Here is a 17,026-nt window from a genome sequence, read left to right as displayed (position 1 = left end):
TAGTTGGTTAAGATAGTGGCCTCACCTCCAGAGTTTCTAATTCAGTAGATGTGGGATAAAGACCAAGGGTTTGCACTTCTCACAAGCACCCAGGGAATGCTGTGGCTACTGGCCCACAGACTACACTTTGAGAACTACTGGTTTGACTGCATTTCCTATTTTCAGAATGAGAAAAACAGAATATGAACAGTGTGTTCAGGGCAATAGAGGATGCCGGAGAGATAAGGAGAATCCAGTTTTCCTGGAATGTCAAGCAAAAAAGTCTGTATTTATTCTAAAGTAATAAGAAGTTACTGAATGATCTTAAAAGAGTGAGTCAGACGGCCTAAATTAAAATTTAAGAGATTATTCAGGAGGCATTCAACTCCCCTCTTCCCTTAGAAAGACACCAGAAAGATGTTAAGGGTTAGGCTTACGCCAGGAACTCCAGGTGAAAAATGGATTGAAGATAATATACAGTCAAGAAAGGTGATGCCCATTAAGACATGGGTAGAGGGCTGACGTGGAGGAGGTAGTCAAAGGAGCAGCATGTTTCTAATACCGGTTTAAAGGGTGTAATGAGGATCCATTGTCTGGGCTCTGGGAACAGGCTATTGATTATATTCTGCAGGCAGCATCACCAAACTTTCAAATTTAAATCTCTGGCTTTTTCTCCATATAATACTCATTATACATACATCACGTAGAAGAAAATATAGATGTAAAAGAAAACACATAGTGCATCACACAGATCATGGACATTGTTAAATTATACCACAATGCTTATCATGAGAAAATTTTCTGGGCAAAAGGAGAAGGAATTACAAAGAGTGAAAGAGGAAGCTGTCCCATATGGGATGGGAGCTGGGGTTATGACATTTCAAGATGGAAGGCATGTAGTGGCAATATATATTTGCTGAGAAGTGAATGGATACATGAATGCATAATTTAACAGTGTCAAATTAAAATCTATTGAAAAGACTTAGAATGGAGCAAACCCAGTGGCTTTAAATGCTATGCACTCAATGGTTTTCAGATCATGAGAATTAACCCCACTGGATCTCTGCCCTTTCACACTACAAATGGGGACTGTGCTCAATTCATAACAGGACGTTTTGAGAGGGCAGTCACATGTTTTTGTGAACTGAGAGAAAAGATAATGGCTCTAGGAAAATGGCTCTATGTGAGAAGTTGCCTGTGTCATCTTGTGTGGATGCTTGATTCTGATTGCCCTTGGAGAGCTTGGGTCCTCCTCATTATCTTATACATGTCTCATGCAGATTCTCAGCTTTCCTTCAACTTTCAAATGATAGTCACTTCTGGGTTGAGGTTGGCACTAGAGTACACAGAGTTCCCCTCTACCATCAGTCTCCACCTGCCCCGCTCCTGCCATGATGAGGCCTGGGACCTGCCCTAGGGCAACACAGTGATTTTGAGAACCAGGAGATTTCAAATGTCTTTGCTTGTTCAAACAATGCCCAGTTATTTTCCTTTGCCAATAATTCACAACTTCTGGCAAGATTGTTTCTGGATGTTATGTTCATTTTATGGCTACATATGTCTTCAAAGCTGAGACACAGCTTCCGACACAGTCTCCTCTGGCTCTGGTTCAGAACTGCCTGAATTTTCTCTTCATCACATCCTTTTGATGGATCACATTTGGGTCACAAAAAGTGATTCCTATGGTCAGTTTGGGCTTTAGAGTCCTATAAAATTCTGGATGAAGCACAGAGGACCTTTGCACTAGATTTTAATGTTTCACTGTTTGAGTGGGCTCTGTTAACTGTGCACATGGGGTGCCTGACTGCAATACATGTCTCTTTCTGAAGCCAAGCAGTTCATCCAAATTAAACTGCTAGAATCTGCAATGAGCTTCGAGGCAAATACTCTGTCTTCCTAGTGGTTTCAACTGTGTAGACAGAAAAAATTGTACATAGAGCTAACTACACACACAAAAATCTGGTTTTGGCCACTGGTTTGGGCACACTCAAATCCAAAGTTGGTTTCTTGCTTTCCTCAGCTTTACTGAGGTGTAGCTAACAAAAAAGTATACATTTATTATGTAACAACATATTTTGAAATATGTACATTGTGAAATGGCTACATTGAGCTAATTAACATATGCATTACCTCACCTACTTATAATTTTTGTGGTGAGAAAGAACATTAAAAATCTACTCTTAGTGATTTTCTGGTTTTCTTCCTTCAACTTTTATTTTAAGGTCTGGGGTACATGTGCAGAATGTGCAGTTTTGTTACATAGGTAAACACGTGCCGTGGTGGTTTACTGCACAGATCATCATATCACATAGGTAGTAAGCCCAGCATCCCTTAGCTATTCTTCCTGACGCTCTCCCTCCCCCCGACCCCTACCCCCCACAGGCCCCAATGTGTGTTGTTCCCCTGCCATGTGTCCATGTGTTCTCACCATTCAGCTCCCACTTATAAGTAAGAACATGCAGTGTTTGGTTTTCTGTTCCTGCATTAGTTTGCTGAGGATAATGGCTTCCAGCTCCATCCATGTTCCTGCAAAGGACATGATCTCATTCCTTTTTATGGCTGCATAGTATTCCATGGTGTATATGTACCACATTTTCTTTATCCAGTCTATCATTGATGGGCATTTGGGTTGATTCCATGTTTTTGCTATTGTGAATTGTGCTGCAATGAACATACACGTGCATGTATTTTTATAACGAATGATTTATATTCCTTTGGGTATATACCCAGTAATGAGATTGCTGGGTCAAATAGTATTTCTGCCTCTACATCTCTAAGGAATGCCACACTGTCTTCCACAATGGTTGAACTAATTTACACTCCCACCAACAGTGTAAAAGCATTCCTTTTCCTCCGCAGCCTCACCAGCATCTGTTGTTTCTGGACTTTTTAATTATCACCATTCTGACTGGCATGAGATGGTATCTCATTATGGTTTTCATTTGCATTTCTCTAATGATCAGTGATGTTGAGCTCCTTTTCATATGTTTGTTGGCTGCATGAATGTCTTCTTTTGAGAAGTGTCTGTTTATGTCTTTGCCCACTTTTTAATGGGGTTGTTTTTTTCTTATAAATTTGTTTAAGTTCCTTATAGACTCTGGATAGTAGATCTTCAACAGATGGGTAGATCACAAAAATGTTCTCCCATTCTGTAGGCTGTCTGTTCACTCCGATGATAGTTTCTTTTGCTGTGCAGAACCTCTTCAGTTTAAAATGATCCCATTTGTCAATTTTAGCTTTTGTTCTAGTTGCCTTTGGCATTTCATCATATAATCTTTACCCATGCCTATGTCCTGAATGGTATTGCCTACATTTTCTTCTAGGGCTTTTATTGTTTGGGATTTTACATTTAAGTCTTTAATCCATCTTGAGTTAATTTTTGTATAAGATATAAGGAAGGGGTCCAGTTTCAATTTTCTGCATATGGCTAGCCAGTTCTCCCAGCACCATTTATTAAATAGAGAATCTTTCCCCCATTGCTTGTTTTTGTCAGCTTTGTCAAAGATCAGATGGTTGTAGGTGTGCAGTCTTATTTCTGAGTTCTCTATTTGATTCCACTGGTCTATGTGTCTGTTTTTGTACCATTACATAATGTTTTGGTTACTGTAGCCTGTAGTATAGTTTGAAGTTGGGCACCATGATGCCTCCTGTTTTGTTCTTTTTGCTTAGGATTTTCTTGGCTATATGGACTCTTTCTTGATTCCGTATGAATTTTAAAATAGTTTATTCTAGTTCTGTGAAGAATGTCAATGGCAGTTTAATGGGAATAGCATTGAGTCTATAAATTACTTTTGATAGTATGGCCATTTTCACGATATTGATTCTTCCTATCCATGAGCATGGAACATTTTTCCATTTGTTTGTGTCCTCTCTGATTTCCTTGAGCAATTTTCAAGAATATAATACACTGTTATTAATTGTAGTCACCATATTTTACAATAGATTTCTGGAACTTATTCCTCCTATCTAACTGAAATTTTTCATCCTTTGATCAACATCTCCCCAACTCTCACCTGCTCTTAGCCCCACCATTCTACTTTCTGCCTAAGTATGTCTTTTAAAAATTACACATATAAGTGGGATCATATGGTATTTATATTTCCGTACCTAGCTTATTTCACTTAGCGTAATGTCTTCCAGATTCATCCATATTGTAACCAATGTTAGGATTTCCTTATTTTTGTAAGGCTCAGTAGTATTCCATTGTGTGTGTGTGTGTATGTGTGTGTGTGTGTGTATATATATATATATAATTTTCTTTATTGATCCATTAAGGGACAATGAATTCCATATTTGTTAATTCCATACCTTGGCTATTGTGAATAATGTTGCAATTAACATGGAGTACAAATATCTCTTTGACAAACTGATTTTTTTAATATATACCCAGTAGTAGGATTGCTGGATCATAGAGTAGTTCTATTTTTATTTTTTTCAGAAACTTCCAGACTGTTTTCCATAATGGCAGTATTAATTTACATTACCACCAACAGTGTGCAAGTGTTCCCTTTTCTTCACATCCTCACCAACACTTATCTTTTGTCTTTTTGATAAAAAGTAGCCGTTCTAAGTGGTGTGAGGTAATATCTCATTGTGGTTTTAATTTGCATTTCCCTGATGATTAGTGATGCCCATTTTTCATATACCTGTCAGCCATTTGCATGTCTTCTTTCATGAATGTCCATTCAGGTTGTTGGCTCATTTTAAAAATCAGGTTATTGGTTTTCTTGCTCTTGAGTTGAGTTCCTTATATATTTTGGATATTAGCCCCTTGTCAGATATATGGTTTGCAAATATTTTTTCCCATTCTGTATGTTGTCTCTTCACTCTGTTGATTTTTTTCCTTTGCTGTTCAGAAGCTTTTTAGTTTGATACCATCCTATTTTCACTTTTGTGCCTATGCTTTCGGAGTTATATCCGAAAAATAAGACAAATGTCATGCAAGTTTCCTTTATGTTTTTCTCCAGCAGTTTTATAGTTACAAGTCTTATGTTTAAGTCTTTAATCCATTCTTACTGACTTTTTATGTGGTGTGAGATGAGGGTCTACTTTTCTTCTGCAGCATATGGATATCCAGTTTTACCAACACCATTTATTTGAAGAGACTGTCTTTTCCCCATTGTGTGTTCTTGCACTTTTAGCAAAAATTAGCTGACCATAAATGCATAGGTTTATTTCTGGGCTTTCTACTCTGTTCCATTGGTCTATGTGTCTGTCTTCACACCAGTACCATGCTGTGCTAATCACCATAACTTTGTGATATATTTTGAAGTCAGATAGTGTAATGCCTCCAGCTTTGTTCTTTTTACCTTGGCTATGCAGGGTCTTTTGTATTTCCATATGAATTTTCTGTGAAAAATGCCATTGGAATTTTTGATAAGGATTATATTGAATCTATAAATTACTTAGGGTAGTAAGGACACTTGACAATATTCTTCTAATTCATGAACATAGGGTATCTTTCCATTTATTTGAGTCATCTTCAATTTCTTTAATCAATGTTTTATAGTTTATAGGTCTTTCACTTCCTTGGTTAAATATATTCCTAAGTATTTCATTCTTTTTGATGCTTTTTAAAATAGGATTGTTTTCTTAATTTCTTTTTTGAGTAGTTTTAGCATATAGAAACTAATTTTTGTATATTGATCTTATAACCTGCAACTATACTGAATATGCTTATTAATTCTAACTGAGATTTTATGGAATCTTTAGTGTTTCTATTTATGATTATGTCATCTGCAGAGACAATTTTACTTCTTACTTTAGGATTTGGATGCCTTTTATTTCTTTGTCTTGCCTAATTGCTCTGGCTAGGACTTTCAGTGCTAGGTTAAATAGAAATGGCAAGATTGGGCATGCTTGTTTTGTTACAGATCTTGGATGAAAAGCTTTCAGCTTTTCACCATTGAGTATGATGTTAACTGTGGAATTGTCATCTATGGCCTTTATTGTGTTGAAGTGCATTTCTTCCGTATCTAATTTGTTGAGGTTTTTTTTTTTTTTTTAATCATAAAAGGACGTTAAGGGCCAGGTGCAGTGGCTCATGCCTATAATCCCAGCACTTTGGGAGGCTGAGGCGGGTGGATCACCTGACATCAGGAGTTCGAGACCAGCCTGGCCAACATGGCGAAACCCCATCTCTACTAAAAATACAAAAATAAGCTGGGCATCATGGTGGGTGTCTGTAATCCCAGCTACTCTGGAAGCTGAGGCAGGAAAATCGCTTGAACCTGGGAGGCAGAGGTTGCAATGAGCGAAGTTTATGCCATTGCACTCCAGCCTGGGTGACAAGAGTGAAACTCCGCCTCAAAAAAATAAAAATAAAAGGACATTAAAAAAGGAAATTGAATTTTGCCAAAGGCCTTTTCTGCATCTATTGAGATGATTATATGGTTTAAATCCCTTATTCTGTTAATGTGATATATCACATTTATTGATTTGCATATGTTAAATCATCCTTGCACCCTTGGGATGAATTCCACTTAATCATGGTGTGCAGTCCTTTTAATGTGTGGTTGAATTTGGTTTGCTAGTATTTGGTTGAGAACTTCTGAATCTATGTTCATCGGAGATATTGGCCTATAATTCAGTTTTCTTGTCTGGTTTTGGTATTAGGGTAATGTTGCCCTTGCAAAATGAGTTTGAAAGTGTTCCCTCTATTGAATTTTTTGGAAGAGTTTGAGAATGATTTGTATTAGTTCCTTAAATATTTGGTAGAATTCTGTAGTGAAGTCATCAGGTGCTGAACTTTTCTTTGATGGGAGGCTTTTTATTACTTGTTCAATATCCATACTCATTATTGGTCTGTTCAGATTTTCTCTTTCTTTGTGATTCAGTCTGGTAGACTATATGTTTCAGGAACTTACTTATTTCTTCTAGGTTATCTAATTTGTTGGTATATAATTGTTAATAATAGTCTCTTATGCTCCTTTGTATTTCTGTGGTATCAGTTGTAATGTCTCCTTTTTTCTGATTTTGAGTCCTCTCTCTTTTCTTCTTAGTCCAGCTAAAAGGTTATCAATTTTGTTTATCATTTCAAAAATCCAAGTCTTAGTTTTGTTCATCTTTTGTTTCTCTCTTTTTTATTTATTTCTGCTCTGATTTTCATTATTTTCTTTCTTCTATTAACTTTAGGATGTTAGTTTTTATTTTTCTAGTTCCTTGATGTGTAAAGTTAGGTTGTTTATGTGAGACTTATTTTAACTTCCTGTTGACATTTTACCACTATAAACTTCTCCCATAGAACTGCTTTTGTTGCATCCTATACAAATTATTATAGCTATTGCTATTTTTAATACTTTCATCTTTTAACCTTTATACTATACTTATAAGTGATTTACAAAGAACCACTACAGTATTATTCTATTTGACTTAGCTTTACCACTGAGTTTCAGACTTTCAAATGTTTTCATGTTACTGATTATCATCTTTTCATTTCAGCTTAAAGAACACCCTTTATCATTTCTTGTAAGATAGGTCTAGTGGGAATGGACTCCATCAGCTTTTCTTTGTCTAGGAAAGCTTTTCTTTCTTCTTCATTGCTGAAGGACAGCTTTGATGGGTGAAGTATTGTTGGTTGAAAATTTTTTTCTTTCAGCATTTTGAATGTATCATCCCACTCTCTCCTGGCCTGTAAGGTTTCTGCCAAAAGCCTGCGGATAATGTTAGAGATTACTTTGTATGTGACAAGACTCTTTTCTGTTGCTGCTATCAAAATTCTCTTTAATTTTTGATAGTTCAGTTATAATGTGTCTGTGAAGTCTTCCTTGAGTTGAACCTATTTGGGATCCTTTGAGTCTCGTGTACTGGATATCCACATATCTCCCTAGGTTGAGAAAATTTTCAGCCACTATTTCTTCATATAAGTTTTCTGCAACCTTTTCTCTCTCTTTTCCTTCTGATACTTTCATAACATGAATGTTAGCTCTTTCTTGATGGTATCCCATAAATCTTCTAGGCTTTTGTCTTCTTTTTTTAATTCTTTTTTCCCTTTTCCTCCTCTGACTCAACATTTTCAAGTAACCTGTCTTTGATTTCATAGTTTCTTTCTTCTGTTTGACCAAGTCTGCTGTTAACTCTATTGCATTTTTAAATTTTATTCCTTATATTCTGTATCTCTGGAATTTTGTCTGGTTCTTTTTAAGTGACTCCTATCTCTTTATTGAACTTTAGTTCAGGTATTGTTTTCTTGATATCATTTAGTTTTTTATTTGTGTTCTCTTGTAGCTTTCTGAGCTACAATGGTTAAAACAATTACTTTGAATTCTTTGTCAGGCAATCTGTAGATGACCGTTTTTTGGCATCAGTTACTGAAATATTATTGTGTTATTTTCGTATTGTCATGTTTCCTTAATTTTTCCTGTTCCTTGAGGTCTTGTATTGCTGTCTGTACACTTGAAAAAACAATCACTTTTTTCAGTCTTTACTGACTGGCTTCAGGAAAAGGAAAGAAATGCCTATACCAGTTATCCTGCCTATGGATTCTGAGGCTCACTCAAAACTTTTTTATGAATGTGCCTGTTTCATACTTCTTGTTCCCTTTTGGCAGGGAATTCTTGAGATTGTATTGCCTCTCTCAATCCCACAAAGCCAGATCAGATGTTGAAAGCCTCTCATTTGTTTTCCACAGGGTAGTGCCCTGAAACGCTCAACTTTGTATGCCTTCTCCTAATCCTGTACAGTCAAGTCAGCTATCTGCATGGGATGAACTTACCATCCACGGGGACAGGCTTGAGGAGGAGCTGGCCTGGGGAGGGAAGATGAGGTGCACAGAGCATTTGGGATGCTGGTGGATCAGGTGTGGAGGGGGTCCATAGATGAGGTGTCCCAAACAGCTCATGGGCAATCTTCCTGATGGAATCTATGGAGCAGTTAGTAGGGTACACAACATCTCTTCCTTGCTCCCAGACTCTCCCAGCCTGTCAGCTTTGCTGATCACCTCACTAATACAGGTGAGGTAAGAAAGAGGTGGGCCTCGTTGGCAGCACCTTGCATGACTGGGAGAGATGGATGGTCACTCACTATGCTCTTACTTTCCCCTATGGGAGAAATGGGACTGGGTGGGGGTGTCTCTTGGCACCAAGCTATGCCACCATAGAGGAGAGGTGATGTGCGTAATGTGAAACTCTTTTTGTATATTTTATGTTTTAAGAGACAGGGTCTTGCTCTATCTCCCAGGCCGGAGTATAGTGGTGTGATCATAGCTCACTGTAACCTGGAACTCTTGGGCTCGAGTGATCCTCCTGCTCTAGCCTCCTGAGTAGCTGGGACTGTAGGCACATGCCACTATTCCTGGCTAAGTTTTGTTTTGTTTTGTTTTTAACATTTTTTGTAGAGACAGAGTTTCACTGTGTTTCCCAGGCTGGTCTTAAGCTCCTGAGACCTCAAGTGCTCCTCCCACCTTGACCTTCCAAAGTGCTGGGATTATAGGCATGAGCCACTGCACCTGGCCAAAACTGTTCTTCTTACTCTTTTCATGCATCTATTCTCAGATTTTTTTCTCCAACAGTGTGCTGGAACTTCTCCACTGGTATCGTGCCACCGCACTCCAGCCTGGGTGACAGAGCAAGACTCCATCTCAAAAACAACAAAAACAAAAACTTCTCCACTGGACTCCCAGACTCCCACTATTCATGAGTACTTGTCAAAACTGATGCCTCTGCAAAAGAATAACAGTAGAAAGCTTCTATTCTGTCAACTTGCTGACATCCCAAAGCTGGTTTATTAAGAATGTCATGCTTTGTATATAATATTGATAATAAAAACAATAAATAATTTGTTTTGAGCACCCTCTGGCCTGATAACTTTGTATATGTTATCTTATTTAACGATGACATTGGGAACAATAACATTTGCCATATAGTGTGGATTTTCATAGGCTAGCCTCTGTGCTTTATGTAAATTATTCAATGGCGCTTATCAACAAACTTACATTGTTATCTGCATTTAACAGATGGGGAAATTCAGTACGCTCATATTTAAGTGGCTGACTCAGCATTTGAACCCAAATCTGTCCAGGACAAGGGCCATACTCCTCTATCCACTAGGACACTCTGGCTTCCTCACAGGGAACAAGGTCATGGCCTATGCAGCTTAACCAAGCCCTGAAAACCTCTCCCACCCCAACACACATAGGTGCAGCTGGTACATCCACATGCATTCTGGCCCTGTGACAGTCAGGGCTCCTATTAGCTGATACACAAACAGAGAGAACACAACCCCCCGGGAGTGTTTCATTAGACCTGCATGTGGTCTGTTAATAGATGTTGCTCTAGCATATTCAATGGTACCAATTTGGCCCCTGACTTTTTTTTTTCCACAAAAAACCCTCAGTGGTGTATCATGGAAGCGGATCTGGAAAGCCAGACTGACAAACTTAGGCTGAGAGCTAGTCCTAACTGCTTGTCTTTCTTGGGTTAGGTCAGACCCTCATGATTCTCAAGCACCCTAAGCCACCTAGCAGAGTTCTAAGCAAAAGGTTGCTTCCCTGACCCAGCAAATCCTCAGTTTCTTTGTCTGAAAAACAAGATGATTAGACTAGGGAAGTATTTTTCAAACTTGAAAGGTTTTGTTCATAAAAACAACTTAGACTTAGCATTGACAACCATTTTTTGTTATATAATGCATTTTTCACATCTGTTTGCTTGTCTTTTTTTCCCTTTAGTCTGTTCATGTTGCCGTAATGAAAATACCAGAGACTGGGTGGTTTAAGCAACAAACTTACTTTCTCACAGGTCTGAAAAAGGCTGGGAAGTCCAAAATCAAGGCACCAGGAGGTCCAGAGCTTGGTATCTGTTGGGGGGCCACTTCTTGGCTTGTAGAAAGCACTCTGCTTTCTACCTTACTTGTATCATTTCATTCATTTCTCCTAGCAACCTAAAGGCACAGATATTATTCCAATTTTACAATTGAGGACACAGAAAGTAAAAGACTTAACTAAAGTTAAGCCTAATCAGTGAAATAACTGAGATTTGAACCCAGGTCTAGATTGAGCCTAAAGTACCAATACCCATAATCACTGTGTAGGCTGCTTCTAATGGAATTTTCCACATCACAGGTGCCCTCATCTCCCGTCTCCATTGCTTTTTTTCATCCAGATTTACCACCATTTCCACCTTTGTTTTGGAGCTTCTTGCTGTCCCTTCACAGGGAAGGGAAGATGGAGAGGAGAGAGAGATAAATACATTTTATGCATATCCATATTCCCAGCCTATTGCACAGTCCCTGGCACACAGTGGACATTCAGACAATATTTGATGAATAAATGAACATATGTATAAATGAGTAAAGGAATGGATGGAAGACTGGATGGATGGATGGATGAATGGATGTCTGAAACAATCAGGAGAGTTGCTGAAGATGTGGGAATAACCCATGATGTCGTGGTAGACGACCTCTTATACCACAGGACGAGAAGTGATAAAGAAATGGAATATGAAGACCTTATTCCAAAAAAGCATAGATGTGGCAATGGCATGAAGCCATCAATGAATGTAGTGATATCTCAAACAGACCGCACTTAAAGTTTACTTGTCTAGCCAACACATATTAATAAGCATCCATTATGTATATATGAGTGCATGTTGGCACTGTGCTGGAAGCTCCAGAATCAGAAATGAGTAAGACACAGCTTGTACCCTTAAAAAATTCTTGGTTATGAGGACAGACAAACATATAAACAGAATTTTTACAATACAGTCAGTCTAAAACAGAATGTATCAATCAGTATAGGTCAGTTAATACTACAGTAACAATCGACAACTTTCAGTGTTTTTAATCAACAAACCTTGTCCTAAATGTTCATGGCCTCCACTCATATAATTCTCACTCTAGGGCCCAGGCTGACATAGCAGCTGTTGCTGGTTGCTGTGGCAGAGGGAAAGGAACCCTAGTACACTGTGCCTTAGCTCGTAAGGAGCATGTCACTTTCACTCATGTTTGCTTCATCAAATTCATGTGGCCATATTTAACTCCAAAAGGGCTGGGAAGAATTTAACTCCAAGGGGGCAAAGGGAACACTGGAAGCATCTGGTAATTATTAAACAGATGTATAAATAAACTGCACTGGGAGTACACAAAAGGGCATTACTATGAGTGAGCAGCCAGGGTCCTGTTCAAAGAGGAGCTGCCGTTTGAACTGAGTCATGAAATGCATGCACTCGTCACACTGATGCACAGGGTCTAGGAGGTTAGTCTACAGGGAGGTCAGTCACCTTCATGCTGTCTGGAGGTGCCCCAGGGGTCCCTATCATTGTGCAGTGTACAGTGACAAAACTCCATCTGCAGTATGTGTGGTGGTTTCAGCTTCACTGGAGACATTATGATGATGCTGAAAATTACTAATTTTTTTTTCTTTTTTCTTTTTTTTTAGACAGAGTTTCATTCTTGTTGCCCAGGCTGGAGTGCAATGGCTTGATTTTGGCTCGCTGCAACTTCTGCCTCCCAGGTTCAAGTGATTCTCCTACCTCAGCCTGCTGAGTAGCTGGGATTACAGGTGCCCGCCACCACACTCAGCTAATTTTTTTTGTATTTTTAGTAAAGACAGGGTTTCACCATGTTAGCCAGGCTTGTCTCGAACTCCTGATGTCAGGTGATGCACTCACTTTAGCCTCCCAAAGTGCTGGGATGACAGGTGTGGCCATCACTAAATGAACACTTACCCTGTCCAGGGAGGTTTATTGAGGCAGAATGCTGGGCAGCTCAGTCACAAAGGACCACAAGTTTCGACTATGACATCATGTTCAAACAATTTATAAATAAAATCACAAAGATTTCCTGAGAAGAAGATATTTATCATTCAGACTTTGTGTCTAATTTCTAGACACAGAGTCATGAGGAACCTTGAATTAATATTTTCTAGAATTCCTATAATCTTGCATTGTATTTTTGTACTAAAAAAGTGATAATTCAAAAAAATGTATACATAAAGCTCTTCCTCAATTTATGTAATATTGTTGCTATTCACTTTCTATCTAAGAGCCTTAAAAAATGGGAGGTCTGCATCCCTCTTGGCCTGGGCAAGGCTCCCGTAGGTACCAGGCACTCTGCTTTCTAACTTCCTTGTATCATTTCGTAATTTCTCCAGGCAACCTAAAGGCACAGTATTATCTCAATTAAAACAAATGAGAAAATGAAGGCTGAAAGGCTTAATTAACCTTAAGCCTAATAAGTGGAGGAAGTGAGATTTGAACCCAGGTATAGCTTGATCTAAAAGCCCTGACACTTATAATCACTGTGTAGGCTGCTTCTGATGGAAATTTCCACATTGCAGGGCCACTTACCCTCCTTGTTGCTTTTTTTCACCTGGGTTTACCAACATTCCCACCTTTCTCTTGGAGCTTCTGCTTCCAATTGCTCCTCCTGACCCAGATGGAGGTGGCAAGCTGGGAGAAGCAAGCACAGAGAGTCAGCATTTTGTCAAGCATAAAGTCAGGAAGGAATCCCACTGTTGTACTAGAATCTGATGGTTTCCATAGCAACAGAATCAATCAATCAGTTAATCAACAATAAATTGTTGAGCATCATCCATAAACTCAGTTCAGTGTTGCAACTTGAAGGGCAAGGAAGAGGGAAGAGGGTGGGAGCAGAATTATGAAGATGAAGGAGGCACGGGGCGAGCTGTGGGTGTGGGCGTGGGTATGGCTAGTTTCCTGCACCAAATCTGTGCAGAGAGGCCAGAAGTTGGCTGTGATTCAGAAAGGCAGATGGATATCATTCTGAGCTGCTGCTCAAAACTCTAAACCCCAGAGCCACTGTTGGTTGATCCACTGTGTTCAGGTACTTTTACAGAAACCCTGGCAGCTCCTGAATGTCAATAGAGGAGGAATTAGGGGCAGCCATATAGTTGCTTGAGTGTGGGCTAAAGGTTGTGTTGTGAAACTGCATTTATTTAGAAAGCATACTGACTTTTACTTAAATTTAAATTTCAGATGGCCGGGAAGTAGGCGGGTCTAATCAGGAGGAATTAAACTACCCCCTCCCTGTTCTTGACCAAAGTATTTATTAAAGACCTCTTAAGCACATGTCACTTTGCCTTTTCAATGTGGATTTTAAAAGCAGAACAAAGACTGAGGATAATTAAACATACTCTAAGGAATGGTGAATACATTCATAACAAATATAAATTGTAAAAATTGAAATCTACCAGCATTACTACGATGCAGCTCTGATGGCATCTCCAGTTCCTTCTCACTAGGCAATGGGTAAAGTTCTCAGCAGGGAAGGCTAGGACCTGGTCTTCTGTTGCTCTCACTGGCCCACAGCAGTTCTTGGTGGCCCTGTCACTTCCTTTGTTCACAGATGTCATGCCAGTCATGGAGTTAGCTCTCTCCCTGTTAGTTTTAAGGGAGAGAGCTTTTGCCAACTGTATTTCCAGAGCGCTGCCTACTTCTGCTGCCTGCTGCTGTGCAGATCCCTGTTTAAAGACTGGAAATGAGGAGGCAGGAGAGCCAATTCTCAAGCCCCAACACACATAAGAATCACCTTCAGAGCTTGTGAAGAATTCATATTTTGGGGCCTCACTGTCAAGATTTACTGAGTCGGAGGAGGGGTCAGGAATCACTCTCCAAACACCTCACAAGATTCTGAAGCCTGCAGGACCACCTCTGGGAAACACTAGTGTGCATGGTGGTTGGGAGAATGAATTCTAGTCAGGGAGGTCTGTATTTTCACCTCTCATATCTTGTCCTCTCAATTGTAAAATGGGGAAAAGAGCACCTTCCCTTGGGAGGCCAAGTGCCACCCCAGGCCCTGCAGCTAGTAAGTGGCAGAATAAGGCTTGTACTTGCTGGCCCTAAAGTTGCATTTAACCTCGATGTCAGAGTGGGTCTAAAAGCTGTGATATGACTCCTCCCCAGGTCTCCAGCCACCGCAGGCCAAGTGGGGTGTCATGTCCATGAGGATGATAAAGAACATATGAGTAGTGCTCACCACAGAGGATGTACTCAGAAAATGTGTGATGAATAGATGATCAGACAATAATTACAGCGGCATCATTTGTGGAGTCCCTTCTCTGGACTGGACCCTCCACTAGTGCTTCTGAGTCCTGCCCTGGAAGTGGGCCCCACTATTTGTCTATATAGTGACCACTCATGTGACAGCTACCAGCTCTCCCCCTCCCTACCTCAGGACAAATTAGGGGATATGACGCCCTTCATCTAGCTTCTTTCCCCCTCTACTCTACCTCCGTACCCTGTCTCAGAACTCATCTTCCTCATCTATAAAGTGGGGATAATTGACCCTCTTTTTCCTGCTATTGGACTACAAAATGAGACGACGTCAGTGCTATGGACCAAATGTATGTGTCTCACCAAAATTTATATTTTGAAGCTGTAATCCCCAATGTGATAGTGTCTAGAGGTGGAACCTTTGGGGGGTAATTAGATCATGAGGGTAGAGCCCTCATGAATGGGATGAGTGTCTTTTAAGGAGCAGCCAGGGAGTGAGCTAGCTTTCCCTCAGTCACGTGAGGATACTGTGAGAAGGCATCCCTCCACAAACCAGGAAGTGAGCTCTCACCAACAACCAAATCAGCCAGCACTTTGATCTTAGACTTCCCAGACTTCATACTGTGAGGAATACATTTCTGTTAAGTCACCCAGTCTGTGGTGTTCATGTTCTAGCAGCCCAAACTCACTTAGACAACCAACATAAAGTGCCCCCTCCACCATAAAGGATGTTTCTGACCCCTCTGGCTCCCTTCCAACTAAGGATGTGTATTAGTCCGTTTTCACGCTGCTGATACATACCCAAGACTGGGAAGAAAAGGAGGTTTAATTTTACTTACAGTCCATCATAGCTGGGAGGTCTCACAATCATGGCAGAGGGCAAAAGGCAGTTCTTACATGGCAGTGGCAAGAGACGATAAGGAAGAAGCAAAAGCGAAAACCCCTGATAAACCCACCAGTTCTCGTGAGACTTACTCACTATCACGAGAATAGCACAGGAAAGACCAGCCCCCATGATTCAATTATCTCTGCTGGGTCCCTCTCACAACACCTGGGAATTCTGGGAGATACAATTCAAGTTGAGATTTGGGTAGGGACACAGCCAAACCCTATCAGAGGGCCAACCACATTGGCAGCACTCAGCCCCAGTTCAGGGTGGGCTACACTCATGGGGGTGGGGTGCACAGGGCCATCAGGGATGCCCAGCCCTTGAGTCAGGGTGGGAAGCCAAGATAGTCCAGTGGGCCACAGCTGGTGCTGCCTTGTTGCTTCTGTGAATGTACGTGCCCTCTCAGAACACTGTCTTTTCTTGGAACTGGTGAAAGGAGCTAGAAATGTGTGCAGGGCACCAGGCCTCTAGCATGGCCTATAGTGGGGGTGTCCTCAGGGACCTTCATTGTTCCTTTGGTTCCCAAAAACGCCACTAGATCTTCCTAATAAACAGGTGTTGACAGATTCTGATCCTTCTGGAACAACTTCCCCTTCTCCTAGCTGTCTTCTGCTGGGTCCCCCTGGTTCAGTGCACAGGCAGGCAGTACAGCACAGGGCAGGGATTCTCAGATGTTGGTATGTTTCAGAGTCACCAGGAAGGTGTGATAAATGCACATCCCCAGGCCCTGCCCCAGAGGTCCTGACTCAGTGGGTCTGTGGAGAGGCCCAGGAATCTGCCTTTTTAACAAGCATGTCCACATATTCTGATGCAAGCAGTCCTCTGGTCACAGTTAGCACTGACATGACTCGGGTTTTCGAGTCAGGCTGGCCCAGGATTAGATCCTGGCCGTGTGGTTTGGGCAGGTCATGGAGCTCCCAGGCTTCTGTTTACTCTTCTGGGGAGGGTGCCAACCTACTCATTATTACATAGTAAGGGGTAAACTAGTTCATTTAGACTGTGTGCTTTAGCAAAGCACCTACCACAGCAGGTGCTTTGTGAAGGAAACTTTTCCTAGGGCCAGGAGACTTCCCGCCTGCCCCCTAAGCCTGTGCACCACCACCTGAGTGCATGTCTCTTCTGATGACATGATGGGGAGTTATCTGAGGGCAGGTTGGTTGTCGGCTTGTTCTGGGGGCTGCAGGAAGAAAGAGGGGACCCCAGGGTGGAGGTG

At 40.7% G+C, this 17,026-nt stretch overlaps 1 long non-coding RNA gene across 2 annotated transcripts in view; it reads right to left on the bottom strand.

The window, feature by feature from the left end:
* Positions 1–15,842, bottom strand: part of LOC105369435 (uncharacterized) — an 84,813-nt gene extending 68,971 nt beyond the window's left edge. The window contains exons 1-2 of one of the 2 annotated variants that reach the window (XR_947901.3): positions 13,260–15,842; positions 10,703–10,854 (exon numbers count right to left, since the gene is read on the bottom strand). This is a non-coding gene — a long non-coding RNA (uncharacterized LOC105369435). Of the gene's footprint in view, positions 1–10,702; positions 10,855–12,443; positions 12,479–13,259 lie in introns of those variants that run through there. The other variant, XR_947903.3, reaches the window with a different exon arrangement.
* Positions 15,843–17,026: the final 1,184 nt, after the last annotated feature.

The sequence above is a fragment of the Homo sapiens genome, chromosome 11 (genome assembly GCF_000001405.40).
Source record: "Homo sapiens chromosome 11, GRCh38.p14 Primary Assembly".
Lineage (NCBI taxonomy): Eukaryota > Metazoa > Chordata > Mammalia > Primates > Hominidae > Homo > Homo sapiens.
Note: the sequence above shows the minus strand (reverse complement) of the source record. Positions and strands in the feature narration are given on the sequence as shown.